Source organism: Homo sapiens, chromosome 13 (assembly GCF_000001405.40).
Source record: "Homo sapiens chromosome 13, GRCh38.p14 Primary Assembly".
NCBI classification, from domain to species: domain Eukaryota; kingdom Metazoa; phylum Chordata; class Mammalia; order Primates; family Hominidae; genus Homo; species Homo sapiens.
Genome location: NC_000013.11, coordinates 107,506,764 through 107,527,267, shown reverse-complemented (window position 1 = coordinate 107,527,267; position 20,504 = coordinate 107,506,764). Strand labels below are relative to the sequence as shown.

The 20,504-nt window shown below is 36.9% G+C and overlaps 1 protein-coding gene and 1 long non-coding RNA gene across 2 annotated transcripts in view; both read left to right on the top strand.

Moving 5' to 3' along the window:
• Nucleotides 1-3,766, top strand: part of LOC112268110 (uncharacterized) — a 31,815-nt gene extending 28,049 nt beyond the window's left edge. The window contains exons 2-3 of the long non-coding RNA XR_002957493.2: nucleotides 3,232-3,290; nucleotides 3,563-3,766. This is a non-coding gene — a long non-coding RNA (uncharacterized LOC112268110). The remainder of the gene's footprint in view (nucleotides 1-3,231; nucleotides 3,291-3,562) is intronic.
• NALF1 (NALCN channel auxiliary factor 1) overlaps nucleotides 1-20,504 on the top strand; it is a 703,987-nt gene that overhangs the window by 340,229 nt on the left and 343,254 nt on the right. The gene's annotated exons all lie outside the window — the stretch shown is intronic.

Sequence of the window (20,504 nt, the reverse complement as noted above, 5' to 3'; positions counted from 1 at the left end):
GTAAGCCTAGAGAGAGATCAGCAGAAATCCACTCATGCTTCCACACATCAAAGTGATCTAATGACAGCGGGTCAGCAGCTGTAATTCCCCAAGTAAAAACTAGCACATCATAGTCCTATCTGACATTTATTTTTTTCCTTACCACTTAAGGCAATAGAAAAAACTGTGTTTGAAATTTCACTGGGGTTAATTAGAAAACTCTGAAAGACACATTGCAAACATTGGGGCTTATATGAATCATGCTTGTCCTAATTTCTTAGTGCCCTTATTCAAGAGACTTCATGGTTCTTCAGCCTAAGATCAATTGTGTCAAAACTAGGTTAGACTATACTTGCTCTCACTTTAATTTCATCCTGTCATTAGTAGACAAACGCTTTCCAAGCTGTCTCATGTCTGAAAGTGTTTTTCTGGACTCATTTCTTTACTGAACAGCAGATGCTATTTCTTAATCATAAAGGATCTTCAGAAGTTGGATAGATTTTCACTGATTTTGAGTATCTTAAGTTTAATGCTCTCTAAACACACGCATGAGCTGTATCTCTACCCATGGTTAATTCCTGCCTGTAGTTTCAGTTTATCTTCTGTTGTTTTGATCTTTAAATCATATCAATTATATTGATAAAACAGCAATTCCTAACACTCTGTTAGAGTCCCCTTGCTAAACAATAATTTACCAGTGTTCGTCCTTCTACAGTAACCTTATTTGTCATTAGAATGCAACTCAATCCTCTAAGATTGTCAGGCTTGCTGTATTGCCTTGGAAAATAATGGATGAGATGAATAATACATATTAAATGATCTACACAAATAACTACCCTGTACAAGGAGTCCTCAGTTTCTCTGCTAGGGATACATAGATAACATAAAACAATCAATTGAAACAGAATTAAGAGATAAAGGCATCAGAAAGAGGTACATATATTGCTGCCAGGAAAAGCTTTCAGTAGATGAATCCTCACAGAAGAGGTGAGTTCAGAGGCACTGTGGTAGGTATATCTTAAAATTCAAGCTATCTTAAGATCGTACTCCCATTTATCTGAACATACAGATGCTCATGAAAAGAAAATAGAGATGGAGAAGTAGTAGCTCTTACAATAATAAGAAAATACATGAAAATTGAGATGGTAAAAAAAGACAGTTAAAAGTAAAGTGACAAACCATCAACTTAGGGGGATGGGGATTATTTGCAAAGTATATATCTGGCAAATAACTTGTATCCAGAATATGTCTGTGTGTATAATATTATAAAATCACTTAAAACTCAATGGTTTAGAAAACAGAAACAAACCAATTAAAAAATGAGAAGAAAACATGTACAGACACTTTATGAAATAGGATATATGGATAGTAAATAAGCACAAAATGTAACATCATTAGCCATTACAAAAATGCAATTTAAAATCACTATAGAATACCACAACCCATTAGAATGATTTAAAATTAAGTGTTTATAATACAGACACTTAAATATAGACAATACCAAGGGCTGGTAAATGTGCAGAGCATTAGATCTCTCGTGCATTGTTGAAGCAAAATAGTAAACAGCACAGAATAGTAGAGCCACGTTGGAAAAACAGATTGTCAATTTCTTATAAAATTAAATATCAATTTATCATCTGACTAAAAAAATCCCACTCAAGTATTTACCCAGACAGACAGAAAAATATATGTTTATACCAAAGTTTGTACATAGATGTTTTTAGAAGTTATAATGCCCCCAAACTGGGACCAACCCAAGCATCTTCCACGGGGTGAAAGGATGAACAAACTGTGGTACAACTATACTATGAAATTCTAGTCAGCAATAAAAAGAAATGAAATATTGATACATGCAGCAACAACATAGATGAATCTCAAAGGCATATCCTGAGTGAAAGAAGTCATTCTGAAAAGGTTACAAACTGCATGACTCCACTTCTATTACATTTGGGAAAAGACAAAACTATGAAGATGAGAACAGATTATTGACCATCAACTTCAGGATTGAGGAGATTGTGTGACAGTAAGTGGATTGTATGAGGGAGTTTTTGGGGGTGACGGGACTCTTCTTAATCCTGATGGTGGTAGTTACAGAAATCTCCATGTGTTAAAATTCATAGAACTATACACACTAAGAAAGTCAAATTTACTGTATGTTAATTTAAAATGCAATAAAAAATAGGGGTTCATATAGTTTCTTGAAATGTTTGAGATTTGCCGGATTTTCTACAGGTTAATCTTGCCAAAACCCCATGTTGAAAACAAGGACAGAACTGGTGGGCTAAACTTGGAAGCTTGGAAGCTCTCTATGTCTCCTGGGATATTTTTTTTTCTCTCTCTCTCTCTGAGAACAAGTTCCTCAGCTGTTATACTGAGATGTTTAAATTCACAGCTTTTAAGCTGCAGCTGCTGAACTATGGCTCTAGAAATCATCTGAAACTGAGAATGCGTAAATATTATATATACAGTAATTTAGCTGAGAGTCAACATTTCCTTTCTTAACCCAAGGTTTTGAGTTCCTGAAATTGCCAAGGTCGAGTAAACTTTTGAGCCATCCATCTTATTCGTTTTCCCTAAGTTTTCCTATTGAGTTACTATCTCTGTACCAAGGGTACAAATGATTAGGCTGCAAAGTGCTTTGAGGCTTTGGGAGGCAAAATGTTTCAAGTGCTAATTATTATTATGCAGTATTCTAATTCTGCTTTAAAAATCATCCCATCTACCTTGCTTTCTGTTATACTTCCCCTTATCCTCTTCCTGCTGCTTGGTTGATCATCCTGCTCTAACTTTTTTCTGTGGATCCGTTTCGTACCATCCTTTAAATGTTGACATTGTATTAACATAGAAACCTAGAAATGTCATCTTCCTTCACATACTTTTTTATTTGAAAAATTACATTAATTTTAATGACTTCTCGAATAATCAAAGAAGTAGCTCTCAAACCTCTACTTCTGCTCTGGCCTCTTTATTGATCTGCAGACAATCATTTTCAATCAACTGGCTCACTTCCACTTGACTTTTCCAACATCTTCAACTTTTTGCATTTGAAAAATCATATTACTTCTGAATGTTGGAATAGAAATTTTCATGCATTATTTGTGGAAATTTAAACTGGAAGAAATTTTTGAGTGCAGGTTGTTAAGAAGTACCCAAAGTTTCTATGGCCTGCCCTTTGACCCCATAATAGCACTGTTTAGAATTTTTAAAAATATGTATAGAGAGGTATAATCAAAGCTCATCATTATTTTACAGCCAAAACGTTGAAAACTCTTCCATATTCAGCAGTGGGGAATTGTCTACACAAATTAAAGGTAACTCCATATAATGAAATTTTATATAGCCATTGTAGATTTACATTTGTTGATATAAAATGCATCCTTATTATATTTTAAAATGAAAATAAGAGGTTATAACATAGCATGTAATTACTTCTTTTTTAGTATTGGTTTTCTTTGGATTCATCACATATTTTCATAATCAGAAAAGAAATCAATCCTCATTTTAGGGATAAAATTCAAACCAAAATAATTTGTTATTTTTATCTTAAATGTACCCATCATTCTGATTTGCCTTATTCCCATAGATAGGTACTACCAACCTTCCAGACACCAAGACTTGAAAACTAAGAGCAGCCACCCTTAAGAAGGCAATCTCTCCTGCTCCAACCGTTACCTCATTGACTAGACTTGACAACTGGAACTCTGTATCAGTGATTCCCAAGAAAGGTTGGAGTTGGATATGCATATAAAATTGTGGGGTGGGGGGAGGGGGGAAGGATAGCATTAGGAGATATACCTAATGCTAAATGACGAGTTAATGGGTGCAGCACACCAACATGGCACATGTATACATATGTAACAAACCTGCACGTTGTGCACATGTACCCTAAAACTTAAAGTATAATAATAATAAAATTAAAAAAAATTTCTTATTGTGCAGTGGTGCACAAGGGCACTTTTGCTACTGAGATTCTAAAATACCCGTGAACATTAAACTATGCCACCTGGAGAATGACAGTGCATATTGAAGGCAATGTTTGATGGCAATGTTTTGCTGTCTTTGATGACCCAGGGGAATAGCAAATGTGGAGAACAATGGCTCTGAATTCCTCCCTCCTTATGATATCCAGTACCATTTCCTGGATAATTTTCAGAATGACCTCATTAGTTCTTCTCCTTAATCCTCTGACATCCATCTCCCTTTGCAACTGCCAACTGGTTTATCCATTCATATAGTAACAATTACCAAATGGTAGTTTCAGATGAGAAACCAATGATAGATCCAGTTAGACATACTGAGCTTAGGAGTTCACACTCCTAAATTTCTTCAACATGTCATTTTTGCAGAACTTCCTTTCAAAGAATCTGGAGGGGCCAGGCACGGTGGCTCACACCTGTAATCCCAGAACTTGGGGAGGCCGAGGCAGGTGGATCACCTGAGGTCAGGAGTTGGAGACCAGCCTGCAACATGGAGAAACCCTGTCTCTACTAAAAATACAAAAAAGAAAAAAAAGAAAAATTAGTCGAGCATGGTGTCACATACCTGTAATCTCAGCTACTCGGGACGCAAAGGCAGGAGAATCTCTTGAACTCAGGAGGCGGAGGTTGCAGTGAGTCGAGATCACACCACTGCAGTACAGTCTGGGCTACAGAACAAGACTGTCTCAAAAAAAAAAAAATCTGGATATTTCAAATCTCCTAGGGAAATGAAAATTATTTAATATCATTCACCAGACAAATATGAACTGAAGGAAAGTTTATCTTAAACTGAATCTAGTAGGTGGCCTGTAGAGAAGAAACCACATATATACAGATAAATTCTGGAAAAGATAGAAGACAAATATTTATCAGTGAAACTTTAGGGATGGATGAATTTCTTTAAAGGATGCACAAAAAGATTAGACACCTAAAACTATATTGGAGAGAAACACTGTAAGAAGTGGTATAAGATGAGCCGTCTATATGGAGAGATTGAGAAAGGGTCCAAGAAATTAAAGGAAAAATAAGTATTTGTGTTTGTTTCAGTGGCGTAGGGGAGAGGATACGAAATACGAGAAAAATATCCAATAGCATTAAGAGGGAACATAAGGCCCAGCTCTGGGAAATGAGGTTTTTCTTTGTGGTCAACAGATAAATCCATTATTTTCTCCTTCAATTGCAAAAGCATTTTTGTTGCAAGCGGAAGAGGATTTATTTCTTTATTACCTTTAACAGTATCTCTAATTGTCTCCTTTTTTACATGCAACCTGGAAAATCGTATCCCTTAAGATAGGGACCTAGTAAGATTTATGATATGTGAGAGATACGCTGTGTGTGAGTGTGTGTTTCTGTGTGTGTGTGTGTGTGTATGTGTGTGTGTGTGTGTAAGTTGAAGAAGAAAGGTGCTTGTGAAAACAGAGGTAGAAAAGGAGAACCAGTTCTTCTATCTCCACCAAGATCCTGAACAGACCAATTTCAGGAGAGTACAGAATTAAAAGTGGTCTATGCCTATGTATTTTTCAAAAGTCTTTCTTGTACTCCTAGGTATATATAGTTTATTTGGCAATGGGCTACTTTAAACTGTGGGACACTGGGCTAGCCACCCACTAACCAGCTGATGAGAGCAACTCCTCTTGAAGCACATACGATATACCTGTATATACCCCCATTAAAAGACAAAAGCAAAGCATAATTTAATTATTAATAGTGAAGCTACTAAAACCATTACATGTAAGATAGAATAATACATTTGAATTTGTTATTCTAACTAGTGCTTTATAAGGGGGGATATAATAGTCAACTTAATATACCGTTTTGTATGAAACTATAATGAAAGAAAACATTTTATCAGGACTTGGAAAGTTAGTTTTATTTTATGTTACTAAGTTTAAGTAGAGATCGGGGGAAAAACTATATAGGTTTTCTATTACACTAAGAAATCAATTGTAAAATAGTAAATAGTGTTTTTTCTTTGAATATGTATAAAGTTACTGGGATTTACTATTTGTTTTAATTTGGTGGGATGAACTATAAGTCAGATTTTCTCTGGATGAATTTTCTGTTGCAAATGAAATTCCAATTGCATAAATTGTGATTAATTGAAATGGCACATATTTTGTCCTCATGGATGCATTTCTTTATATTAGAGCCAGTATCACATCGCAGTTTAAAGATGCAGGCATTTTATCCAGTGAGTTTGGGGCCTTCTAGTCATGCTGTGTGAATGCAAAATCACTTCTTATAAAGCTTACTTTATATATTCCTATTTTTTAATGTTTAGATGTATGACCTCACACCTTAGAGAAAGTACCTCAATGTATGTTAAAATATACAGTGTAAAGCATAGATCACTGGGTACGTCTTTCTTAGCCTTATCCCGTGGAGATTTGGAGAGGACCCCACTGCTGCATGGACTCTCAGGGTCAGAGGTCATATTCTTTCAGCTCTCACAGGCAGGGGTCTACCCTGGGCTTGGCATCACCTTACCCCATGTGTTGAAAAATATGCGGGGAAGCATTCTAGAAGACTGGGGCACCCTGCCAGCATTTAGTGGATGGTGATGCAAACGTTCTATGATGCACGGGCAGGCAGTCGTACACAGGGAAGAGTTCGTCCACCAGTGACAGAAGCAACCCTGTTGAGAATCACATCATAAGGGTTGGATAAATTAATGATTGGGTGAATAAACTTCATGCATGAGGAATTGAATGTAGAAAGCTTATTTGGGTGCCAGGCACTGTGTGACTCTTTAATAAGCGTTAGCTACTGTGGTCACAATTAATCCTACCTTATGAAATGTTTCCCTGCTTTCCAATTTATGTCAAAAGACATCTCATAATCTCTGAGCTCATTTCTTCAGGTATAGCTTCAATCCTCTCCTTACTTTCTGTTGTAATAATCGTGGCTCTTCAACATTTTATTTCTAGACATTTACTGTGAAGATACACTGAGTGAAGGAATGTAAGTTGCTTAGGGAGGCCTGAAATTCATTTGTACTCTTTCAATCATGAAATACAATACAAACTCTTAGAACAGAAAATCTTCATCAGAGAACCAGTGTGACTGACCCCTTTAGCAACTGATCATTTTTGCTTTCATGTGCATTTTTTCTTATACATATAGAAAACAATTATATTTCTCTGAACCCCCAAAAACAATGTTAAAAGTATAACTTGAGCTAGTACAAATGAATTTCTGTGTGCTATAATTTTCTCATGTAAAAATTACAATTAATATTTATAATGTTGACAGAAGACACTAAAGATCATCATAAAGCATTAAAAAATTAATCCTTACAGCATTCATTTTACTTCCGCAATTCCAATTTTTAAAGCATATTTCATAAAAATTAATGCAAGATATTATTGGCAACTTTAACCAGAGCACTACATTTGTTAAAATGTCCATTCTCTGTAGTTTGAGATAGTTACTATCTCTAGAATTAACTGATACTTAATTCTAACTGAATAATACCTGAAAACTCTTTCTCAAGCTACTTCTTTTCTCTCTACTTGCTAATCTTGGTAATATCAAGACAGTTGGCTGTAATGGAAGAAAACCATTTCTTTGGCCAGAAAATAGTGTTCATTATTTTAGGTCAGGTAGATTTAATTTCATTTAATGTTTTGATATTATATATTATATGCTGAAACTTCTGTTTGGCTGATAAAGAGTTAATGGGGTTCCTCAGCAACTCTTCCTTTTCCCAACCCAAAGCAGCTATTGTTTAACAGCTTCCATTGCCTTCATAATAATGGACAGACGGAAACCCCTGGATAAACCATGGACTGAGTGCTGTCCTCCTGAAACAGTGCCCTGGGACATCCTTGGGGCATGAACACCATTCTTAAAACAGTAGGTTTTTTGGAAACCATTACTTAGTAGTTTTACTGGCTTTAGTAGTTACATCCTTTAATGTGTTTTCTTTGAAAAGTTTTTTTTTTTTTCCTCCTCCCGGATCCTCTGATACAGTATAACGTAAGAATTCTCTTCTTCATTCAGTATTCTGTGCACAATACAACTTTATTGTTAATAACCTGCAATCAAATAAATTGGAATTGAGTGACCAGAGAATTTTTTTTTCCTCTTTGAGAATTTTGAATATTGTGGTTCTGGTTGGAGACCCCTGTAAATAATATATTTTTTTAATTCTGTAAGTTGTGACTGATTGTAAACACATATCACAAGTCATTCCTTAGTGATTTTTATCAGCTATTAGCAGAGCTCTCCTGAAGGCAGACACTAAATTATGCCCTTGCGCAAGTTCCCACCTGAAGGCTGACTCGGATGCACATCCTCTGAGTGTTGCGCCATTTCCCTGTGCATTTGCTTTGCTAGTTTACTTCAACCTTATTCCAATTTGCTTTCCCACAGGATCACTGTGGCCTCATGGTTCACTTGGCATTTCAATCCCACTTTCATTTCTCCTGTGAATCACTCTGGCCTTGTTATCTCGTTCAGTTCTACTTCAAATTCACTTTTCCAAATATATGACCATGATGTTCTCAAATTTGTTTAGAATGTTCTGTCTGAAAATCAGCATGCTTCCTGAATGTCCAAATAAGTAAATGGGCAATTTCTGGCTAGGTCTGCTTTTTTTATTTCTTCTTCTAAAGCAGTGATCATTCTCTAAAATACTATACATTTACTCATCCATCATGTTTATGTGTATCTACTGTCCCTTACCCTAAAATGGCAGCTCAAGGAGAAAAGGTACCTTTGGTTTGTAGCTTGAAATATCCCGAGCACTTAGAAAATTGACTGACACATAACACAACCAATAAATAGCAGTCGAGTAGGTGGACAAATGCACACGTGAAAAACAATATTTATCTCCAAGTACCTTGGAGAGCTCCTTTCTTTTTAAGTACATGTATTAGTCAAATTTCATTTCACTCATTTCAAAAAAACTCCTCTCACCCCTCAAACTCCTAGATGCCCCAAAATTCCAACAGCTGAGTCTGTTTAGTAGACTAAATGTGAACAATTAAGAAAGCAGAGCCATGTGTAGCTCTCCAAGGAATGATCTTCTTTATATTTAATTATTTGAATATAATATTTGATCTTATCTATTCTGTCCTCTTTCCTCTTCTTTCTGTGCCAGTACCGAATTCCTTAACTTGAAATCAGACAATGAAAATTAACTTATTTTCACAGGAAAAAGAAATTAAACTACCATCCTCCCATATTTGACTATATCATTTTATCTCTCACTTATTTCAGTGCATCGAGTCTTCTCAACTTTGTCTCTTTCATTCTCTATTCTGTGCAGGACTCATGGGTTGTTTTTGTCTAGGTTATGTTCTGCTGTACTCCAAACTACGTTTTTGAGCTTACGTTAAGTTTTTGTTTGTTTTTGAGATGGTGTCTCGCTGTGTCATCCAGGCTGGAGTGCAACATGGCGCAACCTCGGCTCACTGAAACGTCCACCTCCCGGGTTGAAGAGATTCTCCGCCTCAGCCCTGAGTAGCTGGGATTACAGTCATGCATCACCAGGCCTGGCTAACTTTTGTATTTTTTGTAGAGATAGGGTTTCGCCACATTGGCCAGGCTGGTCTCGAACACCTGACCTCAGATAATCCACCTGCCTCAGACTCCCAAAGTGCTGGGATTACAACATGAGCCACTGCGCCTGGCCTTAAGTGTTTTTTGTTTGTTTGTTTGTTTGTTGGTGTTTGAAACAGCGTCTCACTCTGTCACCCAGGCTGGAGTGCAGCAGTGGCGCGATCTTGGCTCATTGCAACCTCCGCCTCCCAGGTTCAAGCGATTCTCCTGCCTCAACCTCCCGAGTAGCTGGGACTACAGGCATCCACCACCACGCCCGGCTAATTTTTTGTATTTTTTTTGCAGAGACGGGGTTTCACCATGTTAGCCAGGATGGTCTCGATCTCCTGATCTTGTGATCCACCCTCCTCAGCCTCCCAAAGTGCTGGAATTATAGGCATGAGCCACTGTGCCTGGCCTTAAGTTTTAATTTTTAAAAATTCCCAGTAACATGGGGGAGTAAATTAAGCCTGGATGTTGTTTGCCAATATTTTGCTTCATTTTTTTCTTTTCTTTTAGTTTTTCAAGACTATTTTCTCTATTTTATAAAATGTTCTGATATTTTAAACTCTATTTTCAATAGGTTTTGTACCAAATAGGATAGAATCTTTAGCTAAATATCATAAAATATCAGTCAGAATTGAAGCCCAGATATACACATATACATATACAACTTAAAAATAAGAAAATAAATAATGAGGAAGGAATATACAAATAGTAAGGACCATCTTCCTAGGCCACGTAAATGAATGCATTTCCAACTATAGCCTGGCACCATCCTACCTCTTCATCCACAGATGTCAGCCTAGTAAATGGATAAACCTGTTTATCCAACATGAGATTTTCCAACATGTTGATATTTAGAAGATTTGAAGTCTGGCGTTTATTAAAGAATTCATGTCCACTTTTGCAAATTGACAAACCACAAACTTTAATGTTTATTTGGGAAAATATCAGTGAATGCCTCCATATTAGTAAATCCCTCACGAGACATTCAGAATTCATGGTGGGCGGGGCTTCAGAGTTTCCCTGTAGTGCTCAATTTGGAAAGCTGGAATGTGATTGCACTCAGAGTCCCTGCATGCTGTATTCAATTTGTCTGTTTATAGCAGAGATCTTAAAAGAGTAGTCACCACTATGGATTTTTTTTTTCTAAATGCAATTGCTAACTGCTACAAGATTACTTAAATTGTTTTGTTTATTATTTTAATAAAACAATGTGAAGGCTGGCAATGTCGTGAAAGCAGCATACATTAATAAAGCTGAAAAACATTTTAAACTTAGTCATCAAATTAAATGAAATTCCTTTGCTCATTTCATGGTAGGTGCTTATATTTAAAGTCAACTTCCTCACATGGTGGAATGTTGGTTGATTGTTAATATGGTACACTTAATAGGCACAGAACAGCAAGTAAATACCACATGCTTTTTGCCTTCACACAATGCTTTCTGCCACACTGATGAGTTAGTTTATATGGCCTTTATTCTGCGTTCTGCTTTTTCTTTCTCCACGTCTGCGTTCTCAGACCCTGACTCCGCTCATTGTCATCTTTGTTTTCTTTAGAAAGCTGGATGAGAACTCTTTATTGCATGTGGATCAGATGTCAGCCATTTTCTCCTTAAAACCCTGCAGTTCATACCTAAGAGCTTCAACCTTTCCAGTTAATATTGAAACCCTAAATATTCAAACCCCCAGTGAACATTTTCCTTTTCTTATCAGAACCACTGAGTTAGTCCATCCTGGAAATGGGTCACTCTGTTATCACATGCTACTTTCATTCTATATTCTACTTAGCCCAGAATCATCAACTCATTGTCCTCTTTGTGAGATTTTTTCAGTTCCTTTCATGACATAGTCAATGCCTGAGATACAACTTTCTTCTAAAACAATGAAGCTACCTACGTTTCCATCCTGCAAGTCCTGAAATTATTCTTTCTTCCCGAAATCTGTGCTAAAACAGTGAGTACACCAGGGTAATTTCTACTCCAACCAATCCACAAATGAGGCTGACAGAGGAGCTGTCTCAGCTCCTAGGGTGTGGGAAACGTAATGTACAGGGTTGTGAAGATGCTGACAAGGAGAGCATGGAGTAAATTCCTCAGATTCACAGTTCAGATGGCTGTGTTACAGAATACATGCGTAAGAATACCTGGTTATTATTAGTAATGAGAACAGATAAGAATATGAGCTTTGCAGCTGTATGGAGTTGGTTTCAAACCCAGTGTTTATTCCTCATGAAACTATGTAATGTGGGGCAGGTCTCTGGTTAGCTAAGTCTGTTTCCTTTCCTGTTATATATGGATCATAGCCATACAACCTTATAACAGGTTGTTATAAGGAGTAAATGGGTTAAAGAACTTTGCATGGTGTCTAACACATAGTAAGAACTCAGTATACTGATATTTAATACTCAACATACTATCAGCCTGGTTTTCCAAAGATACAATTTCTCGTGGTCTTAATTGTTTTCCTTTACTCTCAAACCATTTCCCACACCTAACCTTTCCAATCTTACTGTCATCACTGTCATCATTCAGGAACTAGATGCCACCCAGTTTTCTGTGAGGGTAGTACTTTCTCAGTCTGGAGTAGTTTCTATAGTGATTACACTGCACTTTTGCAAAAGGGCTGCATTTGACCCTCAAAGCTTCCATTTAGAGGGGTACACCTATTTCTTGTATTTTGTAAGTGAATAAAATGTTGCTCAGAGAACTTAAATAACCTGCATATGGCCATACAGCTAGCAGGTCACATAACCAGCTTAATCTTTCTGGACATCTTTGAGGTTACAGTCTATGTCTCCTCTATGCATAGGAATTGTAGGATAAATACTTGTTAAATAAACAAAGGTCAGATCTGCTCTATTCTCTGCTGCCTACCAACAAACTATACTTTACTAGCTTGACTGCTGTTTTGCCATAATATCCTGTCATCTATGCAATGATTCAGGCTACAGCCAGCAGATAAGTGGGGGAGAGTATAGGCTTTAAATCATACAGACCAGGCTCTACCATTTACTTGCTGTGTGATCTTGAGCACATTTTTTGACATCTCTGAGCAAAGAAGGGCAGGATTCAGTTAATAAAAGTAACATATATTAATTTATTCTATACTTCCATGTGAAAGGTGTAACTCTTCTTCAAACAATTCAGGTGTGCAAGAAAATTTACCTTACATTTATTTTAATCATGCCAGAGCCATGTATTTTGTACTCAGTTTTATTGATGGCACGGCTGGCCTTCAAACCTGGGCCCATTCAAAGGTTCTTATGATGAACCAAAAAAAATTGATTTATAGATAGGTAGATTAGATAGATAGATAGATAGATAGATAGATAGATAGATATAGGAGAAGCTTCTCAAATCATAGGCCCAATAACCACCCAAACACCCATTTGTTCATTGACATGTGTCCCGTAAGTCTGATGTCTTGAATCTCCCATACTGCCTTGGACCTGTAGGAAAGTAATTGTAATTTTTTTCTCAGCTTCCATAAGTTCTTAGTTGGAAGGATCCCTGTAACAAAAGAGAGATTAAGAAGAGGAAAATAAAAGGTTATTAACACGTACATTTCACCTATACATGGGAAACAACCAGAGAATGAATAGTTTTCAAAAAGATGTCTTTGAATTCCAGCTTACGTAGCATTTGCAAAAGAGAACAGTAAATTTTTATGGCAATGATAAGACAAAGGAAAAGGACTCTGAGTCTCTAGGAGCGGCTGCTTGTGGGAAGAGAGACAATGGCAGATAAAGGCTCCTTAGCAAAGCTTGTCCATGTACATTCTTCTGGTGCCCTCTCCATAAAATAAAGGTCTAAAGTTGTCTTCAGTGGTTAATCTTTGTTCTCCCTGGTAAGGAGGAGGGATGGATACCTTTTGTCTTTGAAAAACTATGCCCTGCTTTTAGGCAAATAGCGGGCAGAGACCTTTCTTGCATCTATTTCTCCTTAATTGTCTTCAGCTCAAAATTCTTTCTATTTTGGGATGGCACATCCTGTTCTCCTGCAGGTCCAAGCCTCTTTCTGGTTTTGCATCCCTTCATGTGCTTTCAGCCATTCTCCTGGAAGACCTGCCAGCGCTAGTGCTGGGACAATGTGAAAAAGAGAATCTGTGATCTCTTCTATTCATGGAACCCCACCATTGATCTAGGCTTGAGGCAATACTTGTGCTTTCTATTATTACGTTTACCTTCATCCTTCAAAGACACTTCCTTCCTCTATTGCAATAGTAATAAACCTTAGTTAGCTCAGATAACAGAAAAAAAAAAAAGATGGGATGCTTCAGTCTTAAACAATGGCTAGTTTCCCACAGTACAAACCTCCTCTGAGGCAAGGAAATATGGAAGACTTGCTGAGTACTTGGAATGGGAGAGGGAGAAGGATGTGTAGCATAAGAACAACACAAAAATAGATCGCTAAGGCAACTTTTCTATAGTTTTGAGTCTTTGTCCAAGTGAAAAAGTTGAAAAAATAACTTCAGATTCACATTTTAATAAATTATTTTGCCAGAAAGCATCATCTAGGACAGTGATAATTGGTAAGCTTGTAGTAATTAATAATTCCCCAAATATAGACCCCAATATCAAAGATAGGTTTATTTTCCAAAAAGAAAACCCCTAAAAAAATGTTGTCTTATTTTCGAATCCTTATGCAGTCCTTCACACTAGGATGTGTTCTTTTGAATGCTTATTTTGAAAATATTATTTTGGAAGACATATTGGCTTGAAGTGAATTCAAGTGGTGCTGTTTTGATGTCTATTGTAATAGGTGGCCAAAAGAATTTTTAAAATCAACACAATGGAATACAGATGTGGTATAATATTTAGTCTTTTGGGGTATTGAGGTAAGAGGCGGAACTCGACTCTGGAGGCAGGGCTTGGACACTGGACCAGATTGAGGACTAGCTAAAAAAGGGAGCGGGTGGAAGCAGCTTTCCATAAGAAATGCCCACCAGTGTCCCATGTCAGTTTACCGTTGCCATGGCAACACTCTGGAGTTACTTACCACCCCTTTCCATGACAATGACCTGATGAACCAGAAGTACCCTTGATGACTGCCCCTTTCCCTAGAAATTTCGGCAAAAACTGCCCCTCAATCTGCGGAACTAAATATGACTGCAGAACTGCCCTGAGCTGCCCCTCCCTGCCTGTGGGGTAGCCCTGCTCTGTAGGACAGTCATGGAGCTGTGCCACAGCTGCTTCAATACAGCTGTTTTCTTCTGCTCCACCACTGGCCCTTGAATTATTTCCTGGACAAAGCCAAGGACCCTCATGAGCCGAGTCCCAAGCTGGGGCTCACCTGTCCTGCCTCAGTGTGACTTTACAACGTCAAGGTCTAGATATTGAACTAAACCAGGTTTTTCTTTTTTCTTTTTTTAGATGGAGTCTCACTCTGTGGACAGGCTGGAGCGCAGTGGCATGATCTTGGCTCACTGCAACCTCCGCCTCCCAGGTTCAAGTGATTCTCCTGCCTCAGCCTCCAGAGTAGCTGAGACTATAGGTGTGTGCTACCTCGCCTGGCTAATTTTTCATATTTTTAGTAGAGACGGAGTTTCACCATGTTAGCCAGGATGGTCTCGATCTCCTGACCTCGTGATCCACCCGCCTTGGCCTCCCAAAGTGCTGGGATTACAGGCGTGAGCCACGACACCCAGCCAAAGTAAACCAGGTTTTTCTAAAGATCACTTTGTTAGTGCAATGTATGCTTCAGATAAACTCCAGAGAGAAGTGAACCAACCAACCAAATGTACTAACATTACACATATTTGGCATTTGACTTTCAGTAAAGCCATCAAAGACAGCCAGAAACATTGCTACTCAGATGACTGGGAAGTGAAGGTGATGTGCTTGGGGTAACTGCTTTCAGGTATTCAAAATGCTTTTCAACAATGAAGCCATTAGACGGAGGTGAAGAGAGGAATAACCTTGTTTTCATAAAATGTTGAAACAGCAATACTTGTAAAATCACAATATGATTGTAGTTAATTTTAACATACGAAATGAAACATCAATATTCTGAGTAGATATGCAGTTATTTTTTCTATTATACAAGATTGGCCCCTGGAGTGGCCATCTAGTAGCTGCATCAGACCTTAGCAAAGATAAAGTCTCCCTGCCTCAGTTTCTCCATTTGTAGTGTGTGAATAGAAATAGTTACCTGACTCATAATGTTGTTATGAGAAAGCATGTTAATTCATGTAAGGCACTTAGGACTGAGCTCACCGTAGCAGACTTGTTAAATATTATCATCTTGTTGGTATTGGCTGGTATTTGGGAATTTATGAAGTATTGTAACATTGTGCATTATTATTTTTCTCCTCTGCACATTTGCATATGTTTTCTCCTCCTCTATAGATTTTGCTTGCCAACCCCTTCCACCAAACGTCTGTAATTTCTCTCTCCTCTGAATGCCTATAAATCTAATATTTGAGTTTCTAGTGACCCCAATCACATGTCATATATTTTAAAGCCATGTAGAATAAGCACTGGGCGACAATACGATCTAGTCACACTATGTACAGACAACGGAAGAGTCGGATTTGAGACTTGCTTCTGCTCACTAAAATATCTGTCCCCTGAAGAAGTCACTTCAAACTTCTTGACTTTTACTGTGGATGCCCTCCATCCGGTGTCACTGTGAACAGCCTTCTTTCTGCAGCAGCAAAGAGGAACCCAGCGTGGGAAAGCATGGGACATCTCAGGAAGAAGGTATTAGGAGGACTCAGACGGTTTAGGGCAGGTCAGGGGATTTGGGGAGGGCTTAAGAGTGGAGCCTTGCTTTGGGCTAGATGCTGTCAGGAAGCAGAACATAGGATGGGCGTGGGAATTTCTATAACTGGAGAATCTTAATAAATCTTATTTAGAAGGAGAGGGTACTCGAGTGAAACTAAAGCTGTAATTTTTAAGGAAGCAACAGTCCATCCCATGAGCCAGGATGGAGAGAATTTTGACCATTTCTGTGGTATGAACAAAGTTTGTGTTTTTGTCTGTGCTCAGGTGTGAATGCAGAGCTCGTGGTCCATCATGGTCACAGAATGTCCTTGTCTGGCGTTGCTGTTCTGTGAAATTGAGTTCAGCCGCAGAGTATCAAGGCCTCACAAGGCAAACTCTACGGTGGCAGAGCTAGCTTTTTACTTTCTCAACTATTTTGATATCAATACACTGGGCATAAAATATAATGTTGCAGGATTATAGTAAGGACTAAATTAGACAGGTTTTAAAGTATGTAATGTGGTGTCTGAAAAATATTCAGTACTTAATAAAATTTAGTTGTATTTTGGTGCTGCCTTAGAAATCTGTAGAATACAAAACTCTTTCGACCTCTGTTGTGATTCTGGCCCTGATTTTCCTTGATTTTTCCATTTAAAAGTAATGAAATCAGACCCTCCGTTGTAGGCTCAAATGAGATAGCATTCCTCTTCTGTTCTGTTTACAGTGTCTTTGGGCAGCAATTCTTCAGAATCATGAAATGAACTGAGCTTAATTGCTGATTTTCCCCAAAGTTATGGAGGGGAAGAGGAGGAATTGGGTGTGAAAACATCAGTGAAAATGAATGCTATCACTCAAATAGCAATATGATCATCACAAACATATTTGAGCTTTAATTAGGTGTTCTACCGGGATATGGATTTTATAAAAGGAAAATATAAGATTAATTGCAAGCCAAATGCTGTGGCTCACACCTGTAATCCCAGCCCTTTCGGAGGCCCAAGTGGGTGGATCACTTGAGCTCGGGAGTTCAAGACAAACCTGGGCAACATAGCAACCTCTCCATCTCTATGAAGTACATGAAAAATTAGCTGGGCATGGTGGCGCATACCTGTGGTCCTAGCTAATTTGGGGAGCTGATGTGGGAGGATCTTTTGAGCCTGGGAAGTGGAGGATGCAGTGAGCTGAGATTGCACCACTGCACTCAAGCCTGGGTGACAGAGTGAAACCCTAACTCAAAAAATAATAATAATAATAATAATTGTAGTTAAACCAATTGAAACCAGTTGTTCTTTCAGGAATTTCAAAGGAGAGTCTATTTGAAAGCCTTATAATCTGACAGTTATAAGGCAGTCTTTTGAAATGGCTAATAACTTGTTGCTGACTTCTGATTGTATTAATCCCTTCTCCATTTATGGTGGCTAAAGTGAGGAGCTGAATCTGCATATAATAAGATATACTGAAATTTTGAAAAGAAAACTGGAAATAACATTGTAAAAGAGACATTGTGTGAAGTACCTACAGCTCAAGGACAAACTGACAAGTGTTTGGTCGTTGAAGACTGAATATTCAAAGACCCATTTTTCTAACATCTGGATTTCTATTTAAATCTATTTCTTATAAATCTTTTGCTACAAAAATCATTGTTGTGAGAGTTTGGCTCCAGGAAACCTAGACAACGGTTTCGTAGTTATTAATATGCTTTATAATTAATATTTAAATTTCCTGGAGCTAAAGCCTTAGAATAGTGAGAAATAGAGCAATCAATTCTATTTGATGAATATGGAATAAGATTTCCAAGACTGGTGTGTTTGAGTACATATGTATGCGTTTGTATATAATATTATAAAACAATATGTAATATGTAAATATACTACTAAAAGAGAATATATAAGCTAACAGTAGAATCTCAAATCACTTTTGTATAAACAGCAGGCTGAATTTGTATATTTGAGCCAATTTCTGTTTGAAATAGAAAATCATTTTTTAAACAGGCATATATACATCTCAAATTTATAATTGAATTTACTAGCTGTTAAAATATATTTTGTTAAAATACAATTCGCAAATAATCATTTATTTTGATGTTGGGCTTATTTTCACAATGAATAATCACAGTGTTCTCTAACAAAAGGCAAATGAGCTTCCTAAATCCAAGTTTTAAATTTAGCAGGGAAAGCGTAGTATTTTCCAGCTTTTGTTGTTTTTGTTTTTTTTTTAATAAGTGAAAGATTGGTTTGGCCCTGCTTTCAGGTGATGAGACTGGTTTGGTTGGTGTTTTCTTTCTGATTTTGCATCAGTTGTGAGATTGGGGGCGTGTGCGTAGTTGCAAGCCTGTAATCGTGCACAGCCAGGCTTGTCTTTCCCTCATCTGTGAAGCTGCTTTTTTAGCAAACTGCTCAAGAAAAAACAACTTGAATTTGAAAGGTTATGCTGAAGTCAGAATACTAGAACTGCATTTTATTGTCAATGTGTGAAAGTTAATTTCCTGGATGAAAATGAAAGGTTTAAGAGAGATTAAATGACTTGCTCAAGATTCACACCTGGTTAGTGACTTGGCTTCTACCAGGCAAGCAATTCAGCTTGTTTTTTATTATTAAACTTCCTTTTATCATTAGTATTATTCATCAATGGTTACAATGATTATATATTACTGTTATATATAATATATAGTAATACATTATATTAATGTCATTAATATACCACTATATGATATGTAATATGTACATTAATATACATGAGTATATCAAATATTAATAAGTTCCTTAGATTATGCATTAGTTTAGAGCATTTATGACTAATCTCAGATATCCAAATACTGTTCTTATACAAGATAAGATAAAGAGCTGAAACATTGCTTTTAAAGGTTTCATAAAAAAGCACAATATCCTCTAACATTTACCATCTCAAGTGTCATAAAACAATAATAATACATAATATATTTCATGTTTCTATTAATGGCCAAATATTCCTATGAATATTTCCAGTTGTCAAAAGTCATGTAATGTTTTTGTATAGGACAGAACAGGATAGCTTATTACTATTTTTTTCTAATTGCTGAGGCTAATTCATTTTTATGCAGAAAGTGGGATTTCGGAGCAGAAAGGGCTAGCAAGAGTGTGTGGCTTGGGAGATGATGACACAGGGTGGAGCCACGCTGCATTGCATTGGAAGAGCATTCAGTTACTTTGAGCAACATTTAGTCTTCTACTTAATGCAGTTCGAGATTTCTAAGCTTATTTTTCCACTTGGCTCTTCAATTATCAATTTGAGCATCAGGTCTAGTTATTTCCTATGATTTCAATAAATATAGCAGGCTATTGTTTGAAAGAATCTCAATATTAAGAGGCTGAGACAATGTAAGAACCAAAAGGCCTGATTTTGGCACTCTAGAAAAAGTCGCTCTGCAATCCCTACTGTCTTGGGTGTGTTTGCCCCTTTTTTTTTTTTTTTTTTTTTTTTTTTTAATGGAGAATAAACATCTAGGCATCTAGGACATGATGGGAGATGTTTAAAATAAAAAGCAAAAAAAAAGGATGTGATATGGGCTTTTAACGATACATAAACAGGTTTCTTAACCCTAAGTTTCCTCAATTGCTTGTTTCTCATTTAACTTCCTTTCCATTAAAAACAAACAAAAAAAAGCTACCATATAAAATACATGAATCTCCTCTGGGCTAGTTAGAAACAGATGTCCTCTATTCTAAGTAAATGAAGGAAAGAAAACTTGAAGAAGCCCTATCTTCCTGCTAGATACCACTGCCATTTTTTATAGTTAAAAACCTTCAGTTACCTACAAACCTGTAGTTACCTACAACCTGCCAACTAGAAAATCCCTAATAAAATGCCTAACCTAGGTCAGCTTAACATGAAATTCTATTACAGATCTGAATAATTATTTTCTCCCTGGAAAACAACTTAGTATCTCCATTCAATGTTGAATGAAGAGTACTTGTGTTTTTCACAAGTTTCGTGAAAGAACCAACTATTCAATTAAAATTTGGCCATACACAAGAAATTCAGCAGTCTTTTTCTTTCATATTTTATCAGTAAAAGAAGATAATTTTTCCTGATAATTAAAAATATTTTCTGAATTATATAATAGTTTTTAAAAATAGATGTTTCTTTAAAAAGTTACTATTACTCAACAATTCCACTCCTATGTATATGGCCAGGAGAAATTAAAAAAAAAGTCAATTGAAAAAATGTCTAAATGAATGTTCATAGCAGTATTACTTACAATGACCAAAAAGTAGAAATGATCCACATGTCCAGCAAGTGATAAGTGGATAAAGAT